The sequence below is a fragment of the Homo sapiens genome, chromosome 9 (assembly GCF_000001405.40).
Source record: "Homo sapiens chromosome 9, GRCh38.p14 Primary Assembly".
NCBI lineage: Eukaryota > Metazoa > Chordata > Mammalia > Primates > Hominidae > Homo > Homo sapiens.
Window position 1 is genome coordinate 115,474,606 of NC_000009.12, and position 22,474 is coordinate 115,497,079.

Sequence of the window (22,474 nt, forward strand, 5' to 3'; positions counted from 1 at the left end):
CTCTAGGCTTGCCTCCTTCACTATGGGTAAGCTTCCACCTTCCATTCCTCCTTCTTCTCCCTTAGCCTGTGTTCTCAAAAACTTAAAACCTCTTCAACTCACACTTGACCTAAAACCTAAATGCCTTATTTTCTTCTGCAATGCCGCTTGACCCCAGTACAAACTCCACAGTAGTTCCAAATAACCGGAAAACGGCACTTTCAATTTTTCCATCCTACAAGATCTAAATAATTCTTGTCGTAAAATAGGGAAATGGTCTGAGGTGCCTGACGTCCAGGCATTCTTTTACACATCAGTCCCTTCCTAGTCTCTGTGCCCAGTGCAACTCGTCCCAAATCTTCCTTCTTTCCCTCACGCCTGTCCCCTCTGTCCCAACCCCAAGCGTCGCTGAGTCTTTCTAATCTTCCTTTTCTACAGACCCATCTGACCTCTCCCCTCCTCGCCAGCCCAAGCTAGGTCCCAATTCTTCCTCAGCCTCCGCTCCTCCACCCTGTAATCTTTTTATCGCCTCCCCTCCTCACACCTGGTCTGGCTTACAGTTTTGTTCGGTGACTAGCCCTCCCCCACCTGCCCAGCAATTTACTCTTAAAAAGGTGGCTGGAGCCAAAGGCATAGTCAAGGTTAATGCTCCTTTTTCTTTATCCCAATCAGATAGCGTTTAGGCTTTTTCATGAAATATAAAAACACAGCCCAGTTCATGGCTCGTTCAGCAGCAACCCCGAGACGCTTTACATCCCTAGACCCTAAAAGGTCAAAAGGCCATCTTATTCTCAAAATACATTTTATTACCCAATCTGCTCCTGACATTAAATAAAACTCCAAAAATTAAATTCCAGCCCTCAAACCCCACAACAGGATTTAATTAACCTCGCCTTCAAGGTGTACAATAATATAAAAAAGTTGCAATTCCTTGCCTCCACTGTGAGACAAACCCCAGCCACATCTCCAGCACACAAGAACTTCCAAGCACCTGAACCGCAGCGGCCAGGCGTTCCTCCAGAACCTCCTTCCCCAGGAGCTTGCTACAAGTGCCAGAAATCTGACCACCAGGCCAAGGAATGCCTGCAGCCCAGGATTCCTCCTAAGCCGTGTCCCATCTGTGCAGGACCCCACTGGAAATCGGACTGTTCAACTCACCTGGCAGCCACTCCCACAGCCCCTGGAACTCTGGCCCAAGGCTCTCTGACTCCTTCTCGGCTTAGCGGCTGAAGACTGACGCTGCTGGATCGCCTCGGAAGCCCTGTAGACCATCACGGATGCCAAGCTTTAGGTAACTCTCACAGTGGAAAGTAAGTCCGTCCCCTTCTTAATCAATACGGAGGCTACCCACTACACATTACCTTCTTTTCAAGGGCCTGTTTCCCTTGCCTCCATAACTGTTGTGGGTATTGACAGCCAGGCTTCTAAACCTCTTAAACTCCCCAACTCTCGTGTCAACTTAGACAATACTCTTTTAAGCACTCCTTTTTAGTTATCCCCACCTGCCCAGTTCCCTTATTAGGCCAAGACACTTTAACTAAATTATCTTCTTCCCTGACTATTCCTGGACTACAGTCGCATCTCATTGCTGCCCTTCTCCCCAACCCAAAGCCTCCTTTGTGTCCTCCTCTTGTATCCCCCCACCTTAACCCACAAGTGTAAGATACCTCTACTCCCTCCTTGGCGTCTGACCATGCACCCCTTACCATCTCATTAAAACCTAATCACCTTTACCCCGCTCAATGCCAATATCCCATCCCACAGCATGCTTTGAAATGATTAAAGCCTGTTATCACTCGCCTGCTACAGCATGGCCTTTTAAAGCCTACAAACTCTCCTTACAATTCCCCCATTTTACCTGTCCTAAAACCAGACAAGCCTTACAATTTAGTTCAGGATCTATGCCTTATCAACCAAATTGTTTTGCCTATCCACCCCATGGTGCCAAATCCATATACTCTCCTATCCTCAATACCTCCCTCCACAACCCATTATTCTGTTCTGGATCTCAAACATGCTTTCTCTACTATTCCTTTGCACCCTTCATCCCAGCCTCTCTTCGCTTTCACTTGGACTGACCCTGACACCCATCAGGCTCAGCAAATTACCTGGGCTGTACTGCCACAAAGCTTCACAGACAGCCCCCATTACTTCAATCAAGCCCAAATTTCTTCCTCATCTGTTACCTATCTCAGCATAATTATCATAAAAACACACGTGCTCTCCCTGCTGATTGTGTCCGATTAATCTCCCAAACCTCAATCCTTTATAAAACAACTCCTTTCCTTCCTAGGCATGGTTAGTGCGGTCAGAATTCTTACACAAGAGCCAGCACCATGCCCTGTAGCCTTTCTGTGCAAACAACTTGACCTTACTGTTTTAGCCTAGCCCTCATGTCTGCGTGCAGCGGCTGCTGCCGCCGTAATATTTTAGAGGCCCTAAAAATCACAAACTATGCTCAACTCACTTTCTACATTTCACATAACTTCCAAAATATATTTTCTTCCTTATACCTGATGCATATACTTTCTGCTCCCCGGATCCTTCAGCTGTACTCACTCTTTGTTAAGTCTCCCACAATTACCATTGTTCCTGGCACGGACTTCAATCCGGCCTCCCATATTATTTCTGATACCACACCTGACCCCCATGACTGTATCTCTCTGATCCACCTGACATTCACCCCATTTCCCCATATTTCCTTCTTTCCTGTTCCTCAGCCTGATCACGCTTAATTTATTGATGGCGGTTCCACCAGGCCTAATCGCCACACACCAGCAAAGGCAGTCTATGCTACAGCACAAGCCACTAGCCCGCCTCTTAGAACCTCTCATTTCCTTTCCATCGCGGAAATCTATCCTCAAGGAAATAACTTCTCAGTGTTCCATCTGCTATTCTACTACTCCTCAGGGATTATTCAGGCCCCCTCCCTTCCCTACACATCAAGCTTGAAGATTTGCCCCCACCCAGGACTGGCAAATTAGCTTTACTCAAAATCCCTGAGTCACAAAAACTAAAATACCTATTAGTCTAAGTAGACACTTTCACTAGATAGGTAGAGGCCTTTCCTACAGGGTCTGAGAAGGCCACCGCAGTCATTTCTTCCCTTCTGTCAGACATAATTCCTCAGTTTAGCCTTCCCACCTCTATGCAGTCTGATAACAGACCAGCCTTTATTAGTCAAACCAGCCAAGCATTTTTTCAGGCTCTTAATATTCAGTGACAGACTAATAGTCTATTAAAAACACACATCACCAAGCTCAGCCACCAACTTAAAAAGGACTGGACAATACTTTTACCACTTTTGCTTCTCAGAATACAGGCCTGTCCTCAGAATGCTACAAGGTACAGCCCATTTAAGCTCCTGTATAGATGCTCCTTTTTATTAGGCCCCAGTCTCATTTGACACCAGACCAACTTAGACTGTGCCCCCAAAAAACTTGTCATCCCTACTATCTTTTGTCTAGTCATACTCCTATTCACCGTTCTCAACTACTCATACATGCCCTGCTCTTGTTTACACTGCTGGTTTACACTGTTTCTCCAAGCCATCACAGCTGACATCTACCTTTTATACCTGTTTTTCTCCTTCTCTTATTCCATTTAGTTTTTCAATTCACACAAAACCGTATCCAGGCCATCACCAATCATTCTATACGGCAAATGTTTCTTCTAACAACCCCACAATATCACCCCTTACCACAAGACCTCCCTTCAGCTTAATCTCTCCCACTCTAGGTTCCCACGCCGCCCCTAATCCCGCTTAAAGCAGCCCTGAGAAACATCACCCATTCTCTCTCCATACCACCCCCCAAAAATTTTCGCCACCCCAACACTTCAACACTATTTTGTTTTATTTTTCTTACTAATATAAGAAGGCAGGAATGTCAGGCCTCTGAGCCCAAGCCAAGCCATCACATCCCCTGTGACTTGCACGCATACACCCAGATGGCCTGAAGTAACTGAAGAATCACAAAAGAAGTGAATATGCCCTGCCCCACCTTAACTGATGACATTCCACCACAAAAGAAGTGTAAATGGCCGGTCCTTGCCTTAAGTGATGACATTACCTTGTGAAAGTCCTTTTCCTGGCTCATCCTGGCTCAGAAAGCACCCCCACTAAGCACCTTGCGACCCCCACTCCTGCCCGCCAGAGAACAAACCCCCTTTGACTGTAATTTTCCTTTACCTACCCAAATCCTATAAAATGGCCCCACCCTTATCTCCCTTCACTGACTCTCATTTCGGACTCATCCCACCTGCACCCAGGTGAAATAAACAGCTTTATTGCTCACACAAAGCCTGTTTGGTGGTTTCTTCAGACAGACGCGCATTAAAGTTATCATTTTTATGGTGAGAATACTTTAGATCTACTCTCTTAGGATTTTTCAAGAATACAATCTATTAATAACTATAGTCATCATGTTATACAATGGATGCCTTGAATCTATTCCTCCTGTCTAACTGAAATTTTGTATCCTTTGACCAACATCTCCCCGCCAACTAGTCCAGCCCCTGGTAACCACCATTCTACTCTCTTCTTCTATGAGATCATTTTTTTTTTTTTTAGATTCCACATGAGTGCAATCATGTAGTATGTATCTTTTTGTGCCTGGCTTATTTCATTTACCATAATGTTTTCCAAGCTCATCCATGTTGTCACAAATCACAGGTTTCATTCTTCTTTAAGGCTGAATAGTATTCTACTTACATGAATAAGTGCATACACACCACATTTTTTATGCTAAAGATCTACTCTCAGGGAAGTGCACCAGGACACCCTTTACCTCTCAACACACTGTTTTGAAGTACAGGGTATGTATATGTATCATTCAAGGTAGGACTAGCTTCTGAAGGACGTGGAAAATTAACATATTGATTAAGTTGTACTCATAGAATATCTAAAAGTACTTGCCAAGCTCACATGGAAGCACATAATAAAAAGAACAACAGAATATATACCAAAGTTAGCTTCCTCTAGGAATTAGGTGTCCTCTGAGAAAGAATTTCAGGATGGTTGATTTGAGATGATTTCTGTTCACTTTCTTTAGAAGAGAACTGTTATTTTATAATGTTGTTTGTTCTCTGAAAGGATAGTTATGCACAACATTAAAAAAAAAGAAGTGGAGATCCGTACACCAAAAACTGTTGATTTCAGAACAATTGAATCATTTATTTTGTCTTGAAAAGAGTAAAATGCTAGCTCAAGAAAAATACAAAATAATTTAGAGTAATAAGAGGTAGGAAAGCCAATCACATCAAATTAAAAATTATTGAAGACTTTAATTCATTCTACTAATAATTTATTGCTTACCGTATTTGCTAGGGTTTTCAGAGAAAGAGAATCAATAGTATCTAATCTATATCTGTATCTATATCTAATCTATCTAAAAGGACTTATTATAAAGTGTTGGCTCCTGTGATTATGAAGGCTGAGAAGTCCCTAGATTATCAGTCAGCAAGCTGGAAACCCAAGAAGGTTAATGGTCTAGTAGTCCCAATCCGACTCTGAAGGTCTAGAACCACTAGAGCTGATATTGTAAATTCCAGTCTGAAAGCTGGCAGGCTTGAGAACAAAGATGAGCCAATATTAGATTGAATAGCTCTTAGCTGAAGGCAGTCAGGTAAGAGAAATTCCCTTAGTCTTTTTGTTCTAATCAGGTCTTCAACTGATTGGATTAGGGCTACCCACATTAGGGAGGGCAATCTTCTTTACACATTCTGCCAATTCAAATGTTAATTTCAAAGAGAAAGATTCTCACAGACACACCCAGAATAATATTTGACCAAATGTCTGGCCAACCCATGGCCCAATAAAGTTGACACAAGAGGCTGGGGGGCGGTGGCTCACGGCTTCTGTAATCCCAGAAGCCAAGGCTGGCTGATGACAAGGTCAGGGGTTCGAGACCAGTCTGGCCAACATGGTGAAACCCCGTCTCTACTAAAAATACAAAAATTAGCTGGGTGTGGTGGCAGGTACCTGTAATCCCAGCTACTCAGGAGGCTGAGGCAAGAGAATAGTTGGAACCTGGGAGGTAGAGGTTACAGTGAGCCGAGACTGCGTCATTGCACTCCAGTCTGGGCAACAAGAGAGAAACTCCGTCTCAAAAAAAAAAAAAAACAAAAACAAAACAAAACAACAACAACAACAACAACAAAAAACAACTAAAGCTGACACAAGAAATTAACCATTACTCCATTACTTCTACAGTATAACAGACACCTAACTGGGTCCTGGAAATCATGTAAGAGAAAAGTTAGGTGAATCCTTTCTTTGAAATTTATAATCTAGTGGCTCAACCCAACTTAGAAATCTCTTCTGCAGTATTTTTGATATGGAATCATATTCTACTTCTGTTTAGATATCTCTGGGGACTAAGATCTAGCAGTTATAATTTCTAACACATAGTTGACCCTGCTTATGATTTAGATTTAACTCTAATTTATTGAAAACTATTATATACCACTTCTATGTGTTCTCTTGTATGTTTCATCTCATGCATTTGAACTCATAAACAATACTGTGAGGTGGGTAGTCATTGACCTGTTTTTAATTTCCAGCTGAGAAAGGTGAGGTTTAAAATAATAATTATAAATGAAAAGAAAAATTATTTAAGAATTAAGCTTTCACAGTGAAACTACCCTACTGTGTTAGCTGTGCTAATCAAATGAAAATAATGGTGCTGATATTGTTTGAAAAGGAACTTATGCTGTTTTGTAAACAGTAAATAATAGAATTGAATTTCCTTGTAAACACAAATGCAAGTACTTTATCAATCTTCTACTAAGATTTCATTTGAAGTTTGGCTTAATATAGCTACATTAAGAGCTACATTAAGTAGTTTTTTTTCTCCATCAGACTAATGCTGCTCTCTAGTCAGAATATCACAAAATCAAATTCCTTCATAGTCCTCAACACACTTTGATTTTTGTATGGTCCTCCCCAACCCCTCCATGACCACAAAGCAAGAAATCTCCATGTATGCAGGGATTATAGTTGTGTTTTTCTACAGTGACTTTTTCATCCTAGGGCAGATTCTGGATCCCTGTGGGTGCTCAATAAAGATTTAAATAATTAATACATTACTTTTTAAAATCCTTCAACATAGGATTATAATTGTGTACTTATGAGATTATATTTGTGTACTTATGAGAACCTCCTCACCCCACCACCCCACTATAGATTTAGTTTCCTGTATGGTATGGACTATGTCCCAATCATGTCTGAATTCCCAGTATTAAGCGCATGGCCTAGCCTAGAATAACCTCAGTCATTTTATGCTTGCTAATGAAAGAGTCCTCACTGAGAGTATCTATCCTTCTGGCACATCGAGAATACAGACAAAGAATAAAGCTGTCAACAAAAAAACAGACAGGATTGTGGTAAGGAAGATGGGGCAGAATACATAGAAGAAAAACAGATGATGAATGGGCATTTGTCTGACTGTTATCACCTCATGCAGTTCAGCCCTTTTCACCCAGACTTATTCTGGGGCTGTGGAAATTATGCTTGGACTCCAGTTATTTTTAATAAACTATCTTAATGGTAGTCTTCAGCAGAGCTGAGATTCTCTTCTCCTTTGTCAACCCATCTTCTATCCACTTTACTGAGTCACTTTTTTTCTGGTTCTGATTTATTTGCTCAACATAAAAAAAAATGTTTTTAGCATCTACCATGTGTCAGACACTTGCAATACTGATGTCACTCAAGTATCAGAAAAGATAACTCTGTTCTCCAGAGTACCAGAGGACTTGAGATGAGTTCTCTGACAATTCCATAGCCTGTGAAATCCCCAAGCTTTCGCCACAGTTTCTGCTAATGCCTGAAGATTAATATTCTACTGTCTGTCACTTCTTCATCTCCATGTGTGGAATCTTGCTGCATACTTGGTTACAGAAACAAATCTCAGCCATTTTGTGAATCCCTGAAAAGATTCACCTCATATAAAAGCATTATTAAAGAGGGGAGAATGTTTTAAATATTTTGTGGAGACCTGTGGGACACCATCAAGTGGACCAATATATACATAATGGGAATGCTGGAAGGAGAGGAAAGAAAAAGGAATAAATATATATATATATTTTTAAAAAATGGCCCCAAAACTTCCCAAATTTGATAAATAAATCTATACATCTAAGAAGTTCAACAAACTCCAAGAGTATAAACACAAAGAAATTCATACCAAAAAACATTATAAACTATCAAAAGAGAAAGACAATGGGAGAATATTGAAAGCAGCAAGAAAGAAGTAACTCATCATTTACAAGGGATACCGAGTACGATTAATAGATTGTATCTCAGCTGAAACCATGGAGGCCAGAAAGCAATGAGATGACATATTTACAGGGTTAAAAGGAAAAAGAAAACATATCCAGCAAAAAACTACCTTTTAATAATAAAGGAGAAATTAACACATTTTCAGATTGACAAAAGCTAAGGGAAGTTGTTGCTAGTAGATCTTCCCTACAAGAAATGCTAAAGAGAGTCCTTCAGATGAAAATGAAAGGACACTAGGCAATACATCAAACAAATAAAAACAGAACCCCGTTAAATATAACTACATAGGCAAATATGTAATATAACCCAGTTCATTTTGGGGGCTGCTTTAGGGTTTCTGTCCATATATTTTTAATTATTTTTCCCAGAAAATAGGCCTTACTTTTCTGTTTCTATGTGTTATATTTTTTTGTTGTACTTGAAAACTAGACATTTTGAATATTATAATGTGGTAACTCTGAAAACTAGATTATCTTTCCCTCCCTAATGTTTGCTGTTGTTGCTTGGTGAGGGCTTGGTTATCCATTTGTTTAATGACTACTCCAGACTATTTTTTATAAAGTCTGTATTTCCTGTCATGTGTGGTAATTAAAATCTCTGTTCCATTATTTCAGTCATTAGCTAGTGATCTGACAGAGTTTCTTAAATTTCTGGAGCCAAAAAGACAACAACAAAACTACTCTCTTGGTCTACGCAGGTTGGCTTTGGGCTGAAATAATCATTCAATTCTTTGCCATTGTGTCTACAACCCTGCCTTGGCCCTTACTCCCTATTTATGCAGAGCTGAAACATCAGCCAGAGGTCCAGACTAGGATCTTTTCAGGCCTTTTCCAGCCCTAGGCATGTACATTGCACTTTGGATTTTTTAGTATACATGGTAGCATTTCAAACTCTTATCCCCCTCAAGACTCTTCCTTCTCAGTTACCTCCTTTCTAGGCTGTATGGTCTGTCTACTGATTGCCCCATCTGCCATCCTTTGCCCTTGGCATCTACATGTAATATATGTCATTTTTTTTCTTTTTTTGAGACAGAGTCTCACTCTGTCACCCTGGCTGGAGTGCAGTGGTGCAATCTTGGCTCACTGCAACCTCTACCTCTCGGGTTCAAGTGGTTCTCATGCCTCAGCCTCCGCAATAGCTGGGATTACAGTTTCCCACCACCATGCCCGGCTTGTTTATTTATTTATAGGTATGGGGTTTTGCCATCTTGGCCAGGCTGGTCTCAAACTCCTGACCACAGGTGATTCACCCACTTTGGCCTCCCAAAGTGCTGGGATTACAGGCATGAGCCAACGTGCCTGACCTCGTAATAAACATCTTTAATGATTTTGACGTGTGCCACCCACGCTGAGAAAATGAAATAAAGGCAGTAGTCTGCAATGGTCCCTCAGGGAAGCACCAGACTGGTCAAAATGCACAAGAACAGCTTTTGAAAACAAGGTCTTTGTTGCTGCTTGGCATCATCAAATCACATCAGGAATGTGGACCATCATTCCCATGGCTGTCACCTAACTGGTGAAAGGGAAATGGTGAGTAAGCAAAAGCATCATAATGCTTTCTTTTCAGAATTTAGAAACCACTTTCTTCATTAAGCACCCCTTTGGTTGTATAAATTGTTTATTAGATATAAGGATTATGAAAACACTAATGCTGTCAGTTTTTGCCCACTTAAGATACTTTAGTGGAAAAATCAATTCTTAGAGCTCCCTATTTTGTAATTTTCCATGATGCTCACAAATACATAAATACCTCTTGATTCACAGAATTTTCCTGTAGGATTCTATCCCACTGCTGTACACATGCACATGGCAAAATGATGTTTGTCTATAGTTAGTTATTAGTTTTGACTTTGTTTGTAATAGTGAATGATTAAAGACAACACCACATTCATTAGTTAAACAAACTAAGGCATATCTATATAATGGAGTATTCTGTAGCTACACAAAAAGGATTAAGATCTGTTTACATTTATAGAGAAAAATCTCCAAGATATATTAACTAATACAAGCAAGTGTCAGACCAGTGTATATAATATTCTATTTTGTGTGTAAGTTAGGAGCACGCATAGGAATGCCTGTATATGTGTGTAAAAATCCTTCTGGAACAAGGCCCAAGAAACTAATAAACGGTAACTACCTGTGAAGGGCAGACAGGGAGTGGGAACTGTGTACATGGGATAGAGATAACAGGAAGAATTTATACTGTAAACTTCCTTAAACTTGTTAGCGTGACCCATGTGAGTGTACTAATTATCCCCCAAAATAAGTTCAAAATTCAATAACTTATCATTACCTTTAGGATAAAATCCTAACATCTTTTCATGACCTTCAAGGCCATGCTTGATCCTACCTCTGCCTTTGCTACCTCATCTTTCCCCCACTGTCTCCCTATGCAGCATGATGCTATCACATAAGTCAGGTTTTTAATTGTTTTAATTTTTAAATTTTATTTATTTATTTTTGTAGTTGTTTTTTTCCCAGTTCCTAGAATTTTGCAAATTCTTTTTTCCTCAAGGATTTTATACCTAATCCTTACTCTGCAGGCATGTATATTGCTCTGAAATTCACATGGGTGGCTTTTTCTTGTCCTTCAGCTCTTAGAGAAATATTTTGCTAAAGCTCTTTGATAGGGCCGGGCACAGTGGCTCACACCTGTAATCCCAGTACTTTGGGAGGCTGAGTTGGGTGGATCACTTCAGCCCAGGAATTCGAGACTAGCCTGGGTAAGACAGTGAGACCCCATCTCTACAAAAAGTACAAAAATTAGCTGGGTGTGGTGGCATGCACCCATGTTCCCAGCTACTTGGGAGGCTGAGGTAGGAGGATCAATTTAGACTGGGAGGTCAAGGCTGCAGTAAGCCACAATCATGCCACTGCACTTTAGCCTGGACAACAAAGTGAGATCTTGTTACAAAAATAAAAAATAAAAATAAAAATAAATACTCCTTCATAGGGAGATTTTCTTCATCCCCAGTATTCTCTCTCAGCACACTGTTTTTCTTTGTGTCCTTCATAGTGATTATTCATTTGTTTGCTTTTATTTGCCTTTTTTCCCTACTAAAATCTAAGACACATGTCCAAGAATTGTATCAGTCTTGCTTGCTATTGGATCCCATCAGTACGTGGATCAGTACTTGGTCAACTAACATAGTACGTTGAGTGACGGAATGTGTTAATGGGGGAAGGGGGTTAATTATGTTCTCATATATGGGTGCTTGACTTTTTTAGATTATTTGTCTTTTGGTGCAGATGCTTAGTTGTATTTGTAAAATTGGGATGCTGAAATGTCTGATCTGTAAGGTCTCCAGAGAGACTTTTCACAATACTTCTGCCTCTTCACTCACAACTATTACACCTATAAAGCTTGACCTTGTTCTTTTCTGTAGTAAGACAGTGAGCTCCTACTGCTAGCAAAACTTGCCCCACCTCTGGTATCACAGATAGGCAGAAAGTCATTTGTCTTGAACAAGAGCATCTTCTGACACTGCACTTGTACCTGCAGAACGTAGCATGCAGTATTGCCTTTTGGTATTTACCCTGTCTGTTTGACCTGAAATAAGGTCTCTATCAATAGGTAACCAGATTTTATTTTTCCTCCACTTCTTCTCTTATATACAGGGCCCAGGCAGTAATGGATTTCAAAACCCAAATTAAAAATATAGGCCATATAGGTTTAATATACATATAAACACTTTGGAGCCATTTGGCTCTGAACAAGGGTACTAGCATTGTCCAATAAATTGCTCAACATAGTGAATTTTAGAGAAGACAAAACAACAAAACACACGTACACATAAATACACACCCACTTAAAGTTAATACTCTTGTTTCCAAAGTCCAGAGCTCACATGGTTATGGAGGGAGAACAAATTGGACACCAGGGACAGGGTTCAGTGCTCTAGCAACCAAGAACAAGGGAGAGAGAACTACCAAGCCCGTCATGTGGTGCCTCAGAAGGCTAACATTCAGAGACCCGCTAGCTGAGGATGAATTTGTATGCATGAGTACGCTGGCTGAAATGGGGGTGGGAGAGCTAGAACAGGACCATGTGGGGCATGCTGGCTTCCTTCAGTCTCGAACGACCCATCCCACTTCTTTTGCCTCTGAATCTCTGTTTGGAGCAGCCACTGAGGTGTGCTGTTCACTGGGTGGTTACTAATTTCAGGCTCCAGAGACAGTCACATCTAGTGTTCATGGTGCCTAGTTATCTTTTTGACAAGATAGGACTTACCCAGCCATCACGGTGGTGGAAACCATCACAGAATACATTGGATCAAGCCCCTGCACTTTGCCCAAGGGATGGGCTTGCTTGAGATAAGCCCATTTCTGTTTTCAAATTGGCTGGTGACTTCTCTACCTGACAGTATTCATGTGGAAAACAGCCCAACTTTCTGCCTCCGGATTGTTCTCTACAAGGAGCTATAAATTCAAGGGCCTTGAAAAAGCAGAGGGCCTTGAGAAAAGCCATCATCCAATACTGGATCTTATTAAATGACAGAAGCATAGGTTTTCTGATCTGATAGATAAGGGTTAGTTCTAGAGCATTGTTATTTCAAGCAAATAGTTTACTTTCTTCAAGCCTATTTCCACCTTGGTAGAGGAAACATCTTTTTCATAGATCATGATGAAATTTAAATTAGATCACAGTTACAAACACCTGTCTCAATGCTTTATATAGTAATTGGCTGTTTTATCCTTCTATAATATACTTTTTTAAAATTAAATCCTGTATTTATTTATAGTGATTGTTACAAAATATTTCAACTGTAGAGAAATTGATGTATATTTATACACAGGGGAATGTTATCCACAGAGTCTCTTGAGGATTCTAAAACTGAAATTGCTTTCCTAGGCTCAAAATTCTATCTCTAAAGTTTGATACCACTTTCACATTTTCTACTACAAAGTAGCATTTTAAATGTACTTGGGCCACACAACCATCAATCACAGTTCTTCCACTATGAATTATAGCATTTTAAAGCTTGTGACAGTGAGTACCGTCATATGTCACATTGTGAAAAACACGAGAATTTCCCGTGCACAGTAGCATAAAGGACTTACCTTCAGCATGTTAGAAACTGAGCTAGCAATGATTGGACTGTAATCTTATTTTACCTGAACACCTTATATGCCAAAAGTAGAATAATAAAATTAGTGAATGAGAAAGAAATAAACAGCATTTCAGGCAAAAAAAAAAAAAAAAAAAAAAAAGGCAGGACATCCTGAGGCCTGTGGGATAGAAACTATCAACCCCAGGCAGCCTGGCTCTGTTTGACTCCACATCCAGTCCTTGTCAGGCCCTTATCCTAAAGCATTTGTATCTGTTCTCCACTATCTCTTACTGCTTAAGTGAGAAAGTGAGTCTGGATGCATAGACAGATGATGAAATTATTTAAGACCAGTTTCTTAGGTAAAAAGGAGGGATGTACCAAGGGCTGACGATTCACATTCTGGGAAAGGTAGACATGAGCTTTTCTATACACAAGGTGTTGAAAAAGCATCAGGGACTGTAGATCCCAGGATTTGGCAGAAGGGTTATAACAGATGTCAAGTGTCATCACAGTCATTCTGGCTGGAGGAACTGTACCTAAAGAGTTCACATTCATGGGCTGGTTTCCACTTGCTCTTTCAAATATGGGTAAAGGAATAGAGAAGTGGTTTCCATTCTTTTCTATTTGTGTATCAAAGGGTGGACTGTTATTGGTGCCTGCTCAGACCTTTGCTGACTTGTGTACCAAGCCTAGAGGAATGAGAGCAGTTGGAAAATACTACTACCAGCTACACACATGCAAACTGCAGTGAGCATTCTAGATACCATCTGACCCCTCCTGTGGCCACATGTTCCAGTACTTGTTCATCCTCTCCATTACAGGGAGACTGTCTACCTGCCTACACACTCCATAGCTCTTAGTGTTATACCGGTCAGCTGCTGATATCCACAGGCAAAAGTCTCAGATAGCCTTTAATTTGGAGTCAGTTGTAAAGAAATAAAAATTAACAGTTGGTGCCAAATATGTAACATTACTTGAGTTAAGTGATTCACTAATAGCAGAACCATGACATGTTGGTGTTGGGCTGCACAGGATTCAGATGAGAAGCCCAAGTGTCTTCTGGTATAAATGGGCCAAATGATGTTTTCACTGATGCAGAAAGAAAAGGTAGAGAAAGGGAGCTGGAAAAGAACAGCAAAATAGCAAAAGAATACAACATGGAGATAATATAATATCAAACTGAAAGGCAGGAATGTAGAGTCAGATTCACCCAGGTTTGACTCTGGACTCTGAATTCTGCCACTTACCTGGTTCCCATCATCCTTCAATTCTGAGGTTTCTCAGTTAAATTATTTCTTTGATGATTCCACTAGAAATTATAATTAGGTCAGGGCTTAGCACACAACAAATGGATATGCTATTATTATTCTTCATGGTTTTCCATGTAATACTCCCAACTATCTTGTGTGGTAAATATCTTCTCAATTTTTCAGTTAAGAAAACTAAAGCTTGGAGCCTTTAAATTATTTGTTAAAGTTCATATAGCAAATTTGGTATTGAGATTTGACACTGTGTTCTCTGAACTCAAAGTCTCTATTTCCCTTAGAATTAACATGTCATTTTGGGACTTACATGTCTGAATTGGAAAGCAGCTGATCTTTTTAGAGATTTGATTGAATTTACATGGTATGTGAAATGACTCTGCTCAGTTCAAGGAAGGTGGAATCTGAGCTGATTTTCTCATTTTCTGAACTGAAAAAGTCAGGCACAGTAACCTGAGCTGGAGAAGGCTTGGGACAGGCAGACAGACACATGGATAGCCCAGGTACTTGCCTCAGGAGGGACCATCTTACCCCTAGGATGGTCTTCTCGACCCACGACTCTCTGATATGCTGCCTCCTAGGCTTCCTGACCCACAGTTACAGGACAGCAAATCCCTTCCAGATCTCATTCCAAGGTTAGCTTCACAGACAGGCTGAGATCATTCTTTCAGTCCTGGCCTGCTCCACTATGCTGGTAGACATCCCGAATAAATGAGTACATAAATGAACAAGTGAATGACTCCATGGGAACCATGAACAGAGTCTACATCAAGAAGTTATTTAAGCTTCTGCAAGATGTATCAGTCTGCTACAGAGGAGCAAAATCACCTGCCCATCTGATTGGGCACCAGGGGTGATTGAGCAACCCTTACATGGGTGATCTCATTGATTTGTGAGTTTCTCTGTTTTATTCTGCTTTTGTATCTCCTTAGAGAGACTATTGCAGGGCTCAATTTCTCTATAAACTACCTTTTGGGGATGCATACTATTAACTGCTACAGAGAGACTGATAAAAACGAGAATGGATTTAAAATTAGAGGACTGGGTTTCCAGTTTGCAATTCATGGCTGGGTGATGAATAAATTATATAACTACTTTAGATTCTCAATTACATTATGTGATAAATGAGTCTGATTAAAAAAAGAAACCTCTTTATAGGGCTTTCTGGGAATTATATAAGGCAGAGGATGAAAAAATTCTTTGTAAATGGAAAAGAGTTTTAAAATTGCTATTTAAAATTTTGGTTCACTTAACACTTTGGACTCTGACTGATAGCTATATCTTAATTTAGTCATTTGCTGAAATATTTAGTTCACACAAATTAACTGAGGAACGGCTATGGACTGAGATTAAGCCTGGGAAAAACATCAAAATATTTCCTGAAAACATGACAATTACATTGCCACCTTGGATTGTGAGATACCTGGGAGACAGGAAAATCATCTGATTTATTCTTGTGTTCCCATTGTTTGTCCTTGTTCTAACCCTCACACTCAGCATCTCGTGCTTGTCTCATAACTGGCATTTGGAATGTATGAAATCATCTGGTGTATTGAAGATGAAATATCAAATGAACGCCTTAGCCAGGTGTCAAGCCCCTATCTTTTCCATTTAAATAGTCCTTCACCTTCCCAATGTGAACACTTCTGTACAGTCCCACTGTTCTTAAATACCAAGGCCTTGGCCCACTCCCAATCTTATGTCTTATATCTACATATTCCTACTTTCTGCCTACATAAATGCAATGCGTTATAAAGGCTCGTGACTTTCTCTATCCAAGAAAATTTCCCTTATCTTTTCTTCCAAGCTCCTAGTACCTTGAAATTCTAGATTTGATAATTCAACTCTCAAATGCATATGACCTTTGGGTTTTTTGCCTTATTTTAGATGTTTTATTATTTACATCTTTTCTACTAGTGAGGAAGCTGGGTCAAACACGGCATTAAGTGGCAGAGCTAGGATTTGAACTCAAGGCTTCTGACTCTTGGTCCAGAATTCTCTTTCTCCTACCTAGTATAGGGTATCCTGAAATAAATAGAAAGTTATGATATTCTCTTTACCCTGAACCCCATTTTTAGTTAGAAAAAACTTACCTATCTCTGAAATGAACCCTGACACCCCTCGAATGGAGTTAAATCTATGTCTTCTTAAATTATCCAAAAAAAGTCATACCCTCTTAAAACATTTCATCTTATTCTAGATAAAACTAACTTATTAATCATTCTAACATGTCTTGAAGGTATTCACCATGCTCATTTCTGTATTTGGAAGATATATTTACCTAGATAGGGTTTACCTAACTAGCTGTTAATATGCAGTGCTCTTCAGAGCCTGGTTAGGCACAAGCTGAGTTTGTTGTTGTTTGTTTTGTTTGTTGTTTTCATTTGTTGATGAATCAAATGGAGATTCCACTAGGTTTACTAGATGGTTAAAAGTAGTTAGAAGTACAATGTAAGAACTGTTATAATAGGGGTGGGGGCTAGGAAGATAACTCAATCAGGGATATCAGGGAAGGATTCTGAGGAGGAGTGGTCTGAAACAGCTCTTCCAGGTTTTGCCAGGAGGAGCAGTTGGTGAAGGGGCATCCCTGGAAGATGGAACAGAGTTCCTATCATTTACCATGTCTCCTTGGACAGAAACATGGCATATGATAGAGCATTTGGGGAACTCTACGCAGAACATTATTATAGGAGCATAAGGACAAAGTAAGAAGTTAGAGGCACTAAGATTGAAGAAATCAGTCACCGCCATAGTATAGCACGCATGTACAGCAGATTACTGTGGGCATTTTCCCAGAATTTCCTGATTTTTCCATTGGAAAAGCAGAGTTTCTTTCCATCTGAGGGAGCTTATTTAAGTGTGTTATCAATTCTCCAAAGGGTAGTGGTAATCTTACAGCTCAAGAATGAAGAGATGTCCACATTCTTACCACCTGGCTTTGGAACAAAATGGAAATGTCCTTGCCACATTTAAAGATTAGAGAAGAAAAAAAATTCCATTTTACAGTAATTCCTCAAAAGATACAGATTACACCCTTATATCTTTAGCCTGTGCTTACTTGGAATTCTTTTCATAAGATAATAAAAAAGGGGGAGCTACTACAAACTATTCTCGGGAAATTGAAATATTAATAGTTGTGAAATATTAATAGTTGTGTTTTGAATGGGCTTCCTTCCATAGAACTGTAGAGATGTTGTTTGGGGTTTTTTGTTTTATTTGTTTATTTATTTACTTATTTATTGAGACGGAGTCTCACTCTGTTGCCCAGGCTGGAGTGCAGTGGTGCTAACTTGGCTCATTGCAACCTCTGCTTCCTGGGTTCAAGTGATTCTCCTGCCTCAGCCTCCTGAGTAGCTGGGATTACTAGGTGCCCACCACCACGCCTGGTTAATTTTTGTATTTTTAGCAGAGATGGGGTTTCCTTATGTTGGCCAGGTTGGTCTCGAACTCCTGACCTCAAGTTTACCACTTGCCACAGCCTCCCAAAGTGCTGGGATTACAAGTGTGAGCCACTACTCCTGGCCTTATTTTTGTTTTTGTTTGGCCACAGAGACCAACATTAAAAAAATCAGCCAAGGACAAAAGTAGGAAGCCATGCAAGAAGAAATAGAGCTTCAAGAGGTAGAATAAAGCTATTTTTGTTTTTTCAAAAGGAATCAGGGGGAACAGTGTCCAAGCCATTAACAAGTTTGTGTTTGGAAAATAAGCTCTTTCTTAAATCATATTCTTGAAAAATATTTAGGTTTTGAAAACAAATTGTAAGCAACTCAGTATTTCTGCCAGTAACTTATAAAAACAAAATATTAAACTTTAGGGTTGGGAGGAATCTGAACATCTAGCCAGACCAATCCCTCTCACTGGTCAGATAAGAAAACTGAAACCAAAGAAGCAGTTTGTTCAAGGTCAAACAACCTACTTCTAGCATTCTTAACCTAGGCTCAAAGAAGGTTAGAACTCAAATGCAACTCTTAAAGTTTATGTAATATGGTAACTAAATTGGATAGTCCCTCAAAACATAAATTGTCTTTAAGTGACAAGATCAACAAAACTTTGAGGATGAAGGAGCAGAGGAGTAAACAGAGAAGGAAAGAGAGAAGGAAGCTAGGTACAGTCAGATTTCCTGCTTGGGTCAATTTAAATTTGCTGAAAATAATTTTTCAGAATAACGGTAACTAGGACTCATCCTTGTCAGAAAGTTAGAGATATCCCGTGGTTTGTTCATCCCATAACAAACTTCAATTAATCTTTCATTTAGCAAACAGGGTGGTCTTGGACATCTCATACAACCTGTGGTGAGGAATTTTGCATGGGATAACTGGAATGTTTATAAGAACTTTGACCAGCATTAAGGTCTTGAAATGTAGTCTAAACATGAAGAACAAAGATCTCACACTGGGATGGAAAACCAGTGATTTGAAGTCAGGGGGCTAGTGTTCTCGTCCCTGGTTTGGCAGTTTATTTAAAACATTAGGCAAGTAACCCACTCACACATCCCCTCTCTAGTGGCCAGTAATTCCATCTGTAAAATGGTGGAGTTCACCTTGGAGAACCTTAAGAACATCCTCTTGTTTTTATGCCTCTGTCTACAGGATTATCTCTGCCTGGAATATCACTCTTTTTTCCTTCTTTGAAGTCATCTTCCATGATTCTTCAGGCATTGCCTCTTTCAGGAAGGTTTGCTTACCATACATTCTTACCCTACAGCCTGTCCTAGCCCAAATCAGGAGCTCTTCTTCAGGGCCTCACCCCAACTTGCTCTTATTATCTTTATCAAAACACTCTATAAAATATTCCAGACATTTAAAAAATCATTATGATGATAATAATCACCTAATTAATGCCTGCACGCTAAAACAATTCTTGGAGTCCCTTATTTTGGTCACAGAATTTAGAAAAATGTTATCTCGAAATTATCCCTTCACTCAACTATCTCTTCACTATCTTCGAGGAAGCCTAGAACTCATATGGAAATTTCTTGGAGTTCCTAAAATTTGGTAACTAAAGGATATTTCATCCAAACTATAACTTGTCTTTCAGGGATAAAAGCCACAAAAATTATAGGGTGAATTTAGTGGAGCAAAAAACAGATCAGGAGAAAAAAGAGGAACGTCAGGGATAATATTTAATCCATTCTGAAATTACTAGCATCAAACTGCTCCTGGTACACAGTGGACATTAGACATTAAATATGTAGTTTTGAAAGTGAGCTAAACTGTGCTCGTAGTCAAGTTATCTGAAATAATGGGGTTATAATAAAAATCCAGTTTCTCATAAGCCCAAGATAAAGGTCAACCTTTTAAGTATTTCTTTCAATGACTTAAATGGACTTATTTGCAGCAGCTTCATGGCAAAGCCATGATATCACTGGTGACTTCTGTGTCATTTATTTAAGCAATGTTTCAATTGTGCTGTCCCCAAACTGTAGCCAAAACAAGCTGTCCAATTCCCTGAGGCAATGGCCAAGGCTTGGAAACCATGAGTATACACATGCCTAATTCTCAAGGGGAAAAAGCATGCTTAAACCTTTAAAGTACTTACTTGTATTCAGGTCTTCAAAGTTGTTGTTTGGCTTTATAGTAAACAGGATAAAACTGTCTGGAGAAATGTGAACATTTAGAGAAGGAGATATGCGTGTATATGCTTTAATGAAGGTGGCAACTTTATTCTTTGAAGTATCCAGAGAATTATGAAAGAAGACTTAGATAATCACAAGGCAACTTCTCCAGAAATGAGTGCTCATCAGTGAAAACCATAGTGTACCTCTGTGTATGGTTCCTTGATCCTGGTGGGAGAAACTGCGATTCATTATGACTGTGTAAACACTGGTGCAGAGGAAGGAGACTTGATCTAGGGATTGGAGTTGTCAAATGTTCCAGTGACCTTCTGTGTGACCTTCAGCAAGTTGTTTTTACTCTCTGAACCTCTGTTTCCTTATCTACGATTTTTCTGTAATTCAGTGATTTATATACATTGCCTGGAAGAGGGACCGGCACATGAGAGGTATTTAACAAGCATATGTTTTCATTCCGTGATATGCAGCCTTATCATTTGCAACAACTTCCTAGTCTGCTTATTGCAAGGTATCTGGGATTCCCTAGATAAAGTATGCATTGCCAAGGCTCATGCTTTTATTTTGCTCTATTCTCTCAGGAGTGCTTTCTTCCTATCTTTTCTGCCTAAAGGATTGTAGATAAAATGAAGGGCTGCCAGTGTAATTTGAACCTCAAATAAACAACAGATAAAACTGTAGTATAAGTATGTCCCATATATTGCACAACACGATCTTTTTGTTTGCCTAATCTGGCAAAGATATTGACTTAACACACACTAATCTGTTGACAGGTAGGTGAAATATTTGAACTTCTACGTTGCTTCTCTAATCCTGTCCTCTCTTCCCTTTCTCATGGCGTTTAGTAATCCTTTTCCCTGTGTGCTTAGTAGTACTTTGTCCAGATTTTTACTGTAGTGCTTATATGTTGCTGTGTCTATCTGTCACTTCATCTTCTCTTTCTCTTTCGCTACCTGCCACAATACACAGTGCATCCCTCAAACTTTCAAAGATCCGATCTTTCACCTGTGTTCTGAGTCCCATCCCTTCATATCTTTCTAAATACGCCACACTGGCCTGGTTTTCCTCTTACCTTTACGGCTACTTTATCTCATTCTCTCCACATATACCACTGCCTTCTTCAGAGAATGCAGGTCTTTTCCAGGGCTTCTTTATTCCTGCTTTATTGCTTTCTCTCTCCCTTATTGTTTTCTTTCTCTCCCTTTTTGTACTCTCTTCCTGTCTGTTTATTAGGCAGCTGAACTTTTCAAGATCTCACTCCTCTCTCAGTTACACCCTCATTTGTATTTTCAGCCTAGACTCTTCATTTGCATTTTAGACATGCATATGTGATAGCCTACTTGACATGTCTGCTTGGCTACATTGCATTCATTTCAGGCATAATATACCATAATAATAAAATGATAATATCAACTTAAAATAAAAAATGTTTGAGTGGAAACAGGAAATCAAACAACAAAAGATATTCATTAAAATCTCTTCTGCAGGAGGTGAAGAGGGAAGCATCTTCTGAAATTGAAGAACTTGGATTCTTTAAAAACTAATATGTTGAGAATGGAGAGTACAAGGGAAATGAATGATGTGACTTTTCCATAGTAACAACTCACATTTTCCCCATAACATTAGAAGATTTATTGAAGGAAAATATTGGCCATTTAAGGGTTTATTTGTCTAGAAAAGACAAGTGGTGGGTGTGGGGGTTAAACTCAATGTTCATTATTGATGGGGGCATGTTGTACTGTTTGAAATGCGGTGTTTGTTGAAATTCTCAAAAGCCTTATCAGAACAATCAGTCCATATAAAGCCCCAACACCAACTGTAAAACCATGAGAGATTTTATTGTATTTAATATTTCTGAGCTGGCCAAAACCAGCTTTTATTCAAGATGGTTTTATGCTTCCACATTTGGACTGCACTAGTCTGTGAAAACAAACTAAGGAGAAAGTTAAAAAAAAAAACCAACTCTTAATCTTATGGCTCCTTTTAAAGAGAACAGCTAGATTTGGGGAGAGAAATGGATCAAGGTGGAGAACAAGACTTAATCACTTATTTAGCAAATACGTCATGCACTGAGCTTAATTTCATAATTATCTCACTTAATCCTCACTAGGATCCTGAACTATAAGTATGACCCTTCTCATTTTGTAGATAAAGAAGCCAAATTTTAGAAAAGTTATACTCATGACGGCAACATAATTTTCAAGGACCTTGTTAAAAAATTATTGAGCATTTCGAGGTACCAGTAGCAGAACATAAAATCAGGCATGAGGCCCTTCTAAGCATAGGGCTTTATGTGACTTCACAGGTCACATGCCCATGAAGCCGGCCCTTGTCAG

General features: G+C 39.6%; 1 annotated feature.

The window, feature by feature from the left end:
• Positions 3,624-4,403: an enhancer, noted in NCBI's record as "OCT4-NANOG-H3K27ac hESC enhancer chr9:118240508-118241287 (GRCh37/hg19 assembly coordinates)". NCBI's record gives its function as "activates a minimal SCP1, AML or CMV promoter by ChIP-STARR-seq in naive and primed H9 embryonic stem cells {active_cell/tissue: H9 hESC(naive and primed)}" and the evidence as "EXISTENCE:reporter gene assay evidence [ECO:0000049][PMID:30033119]".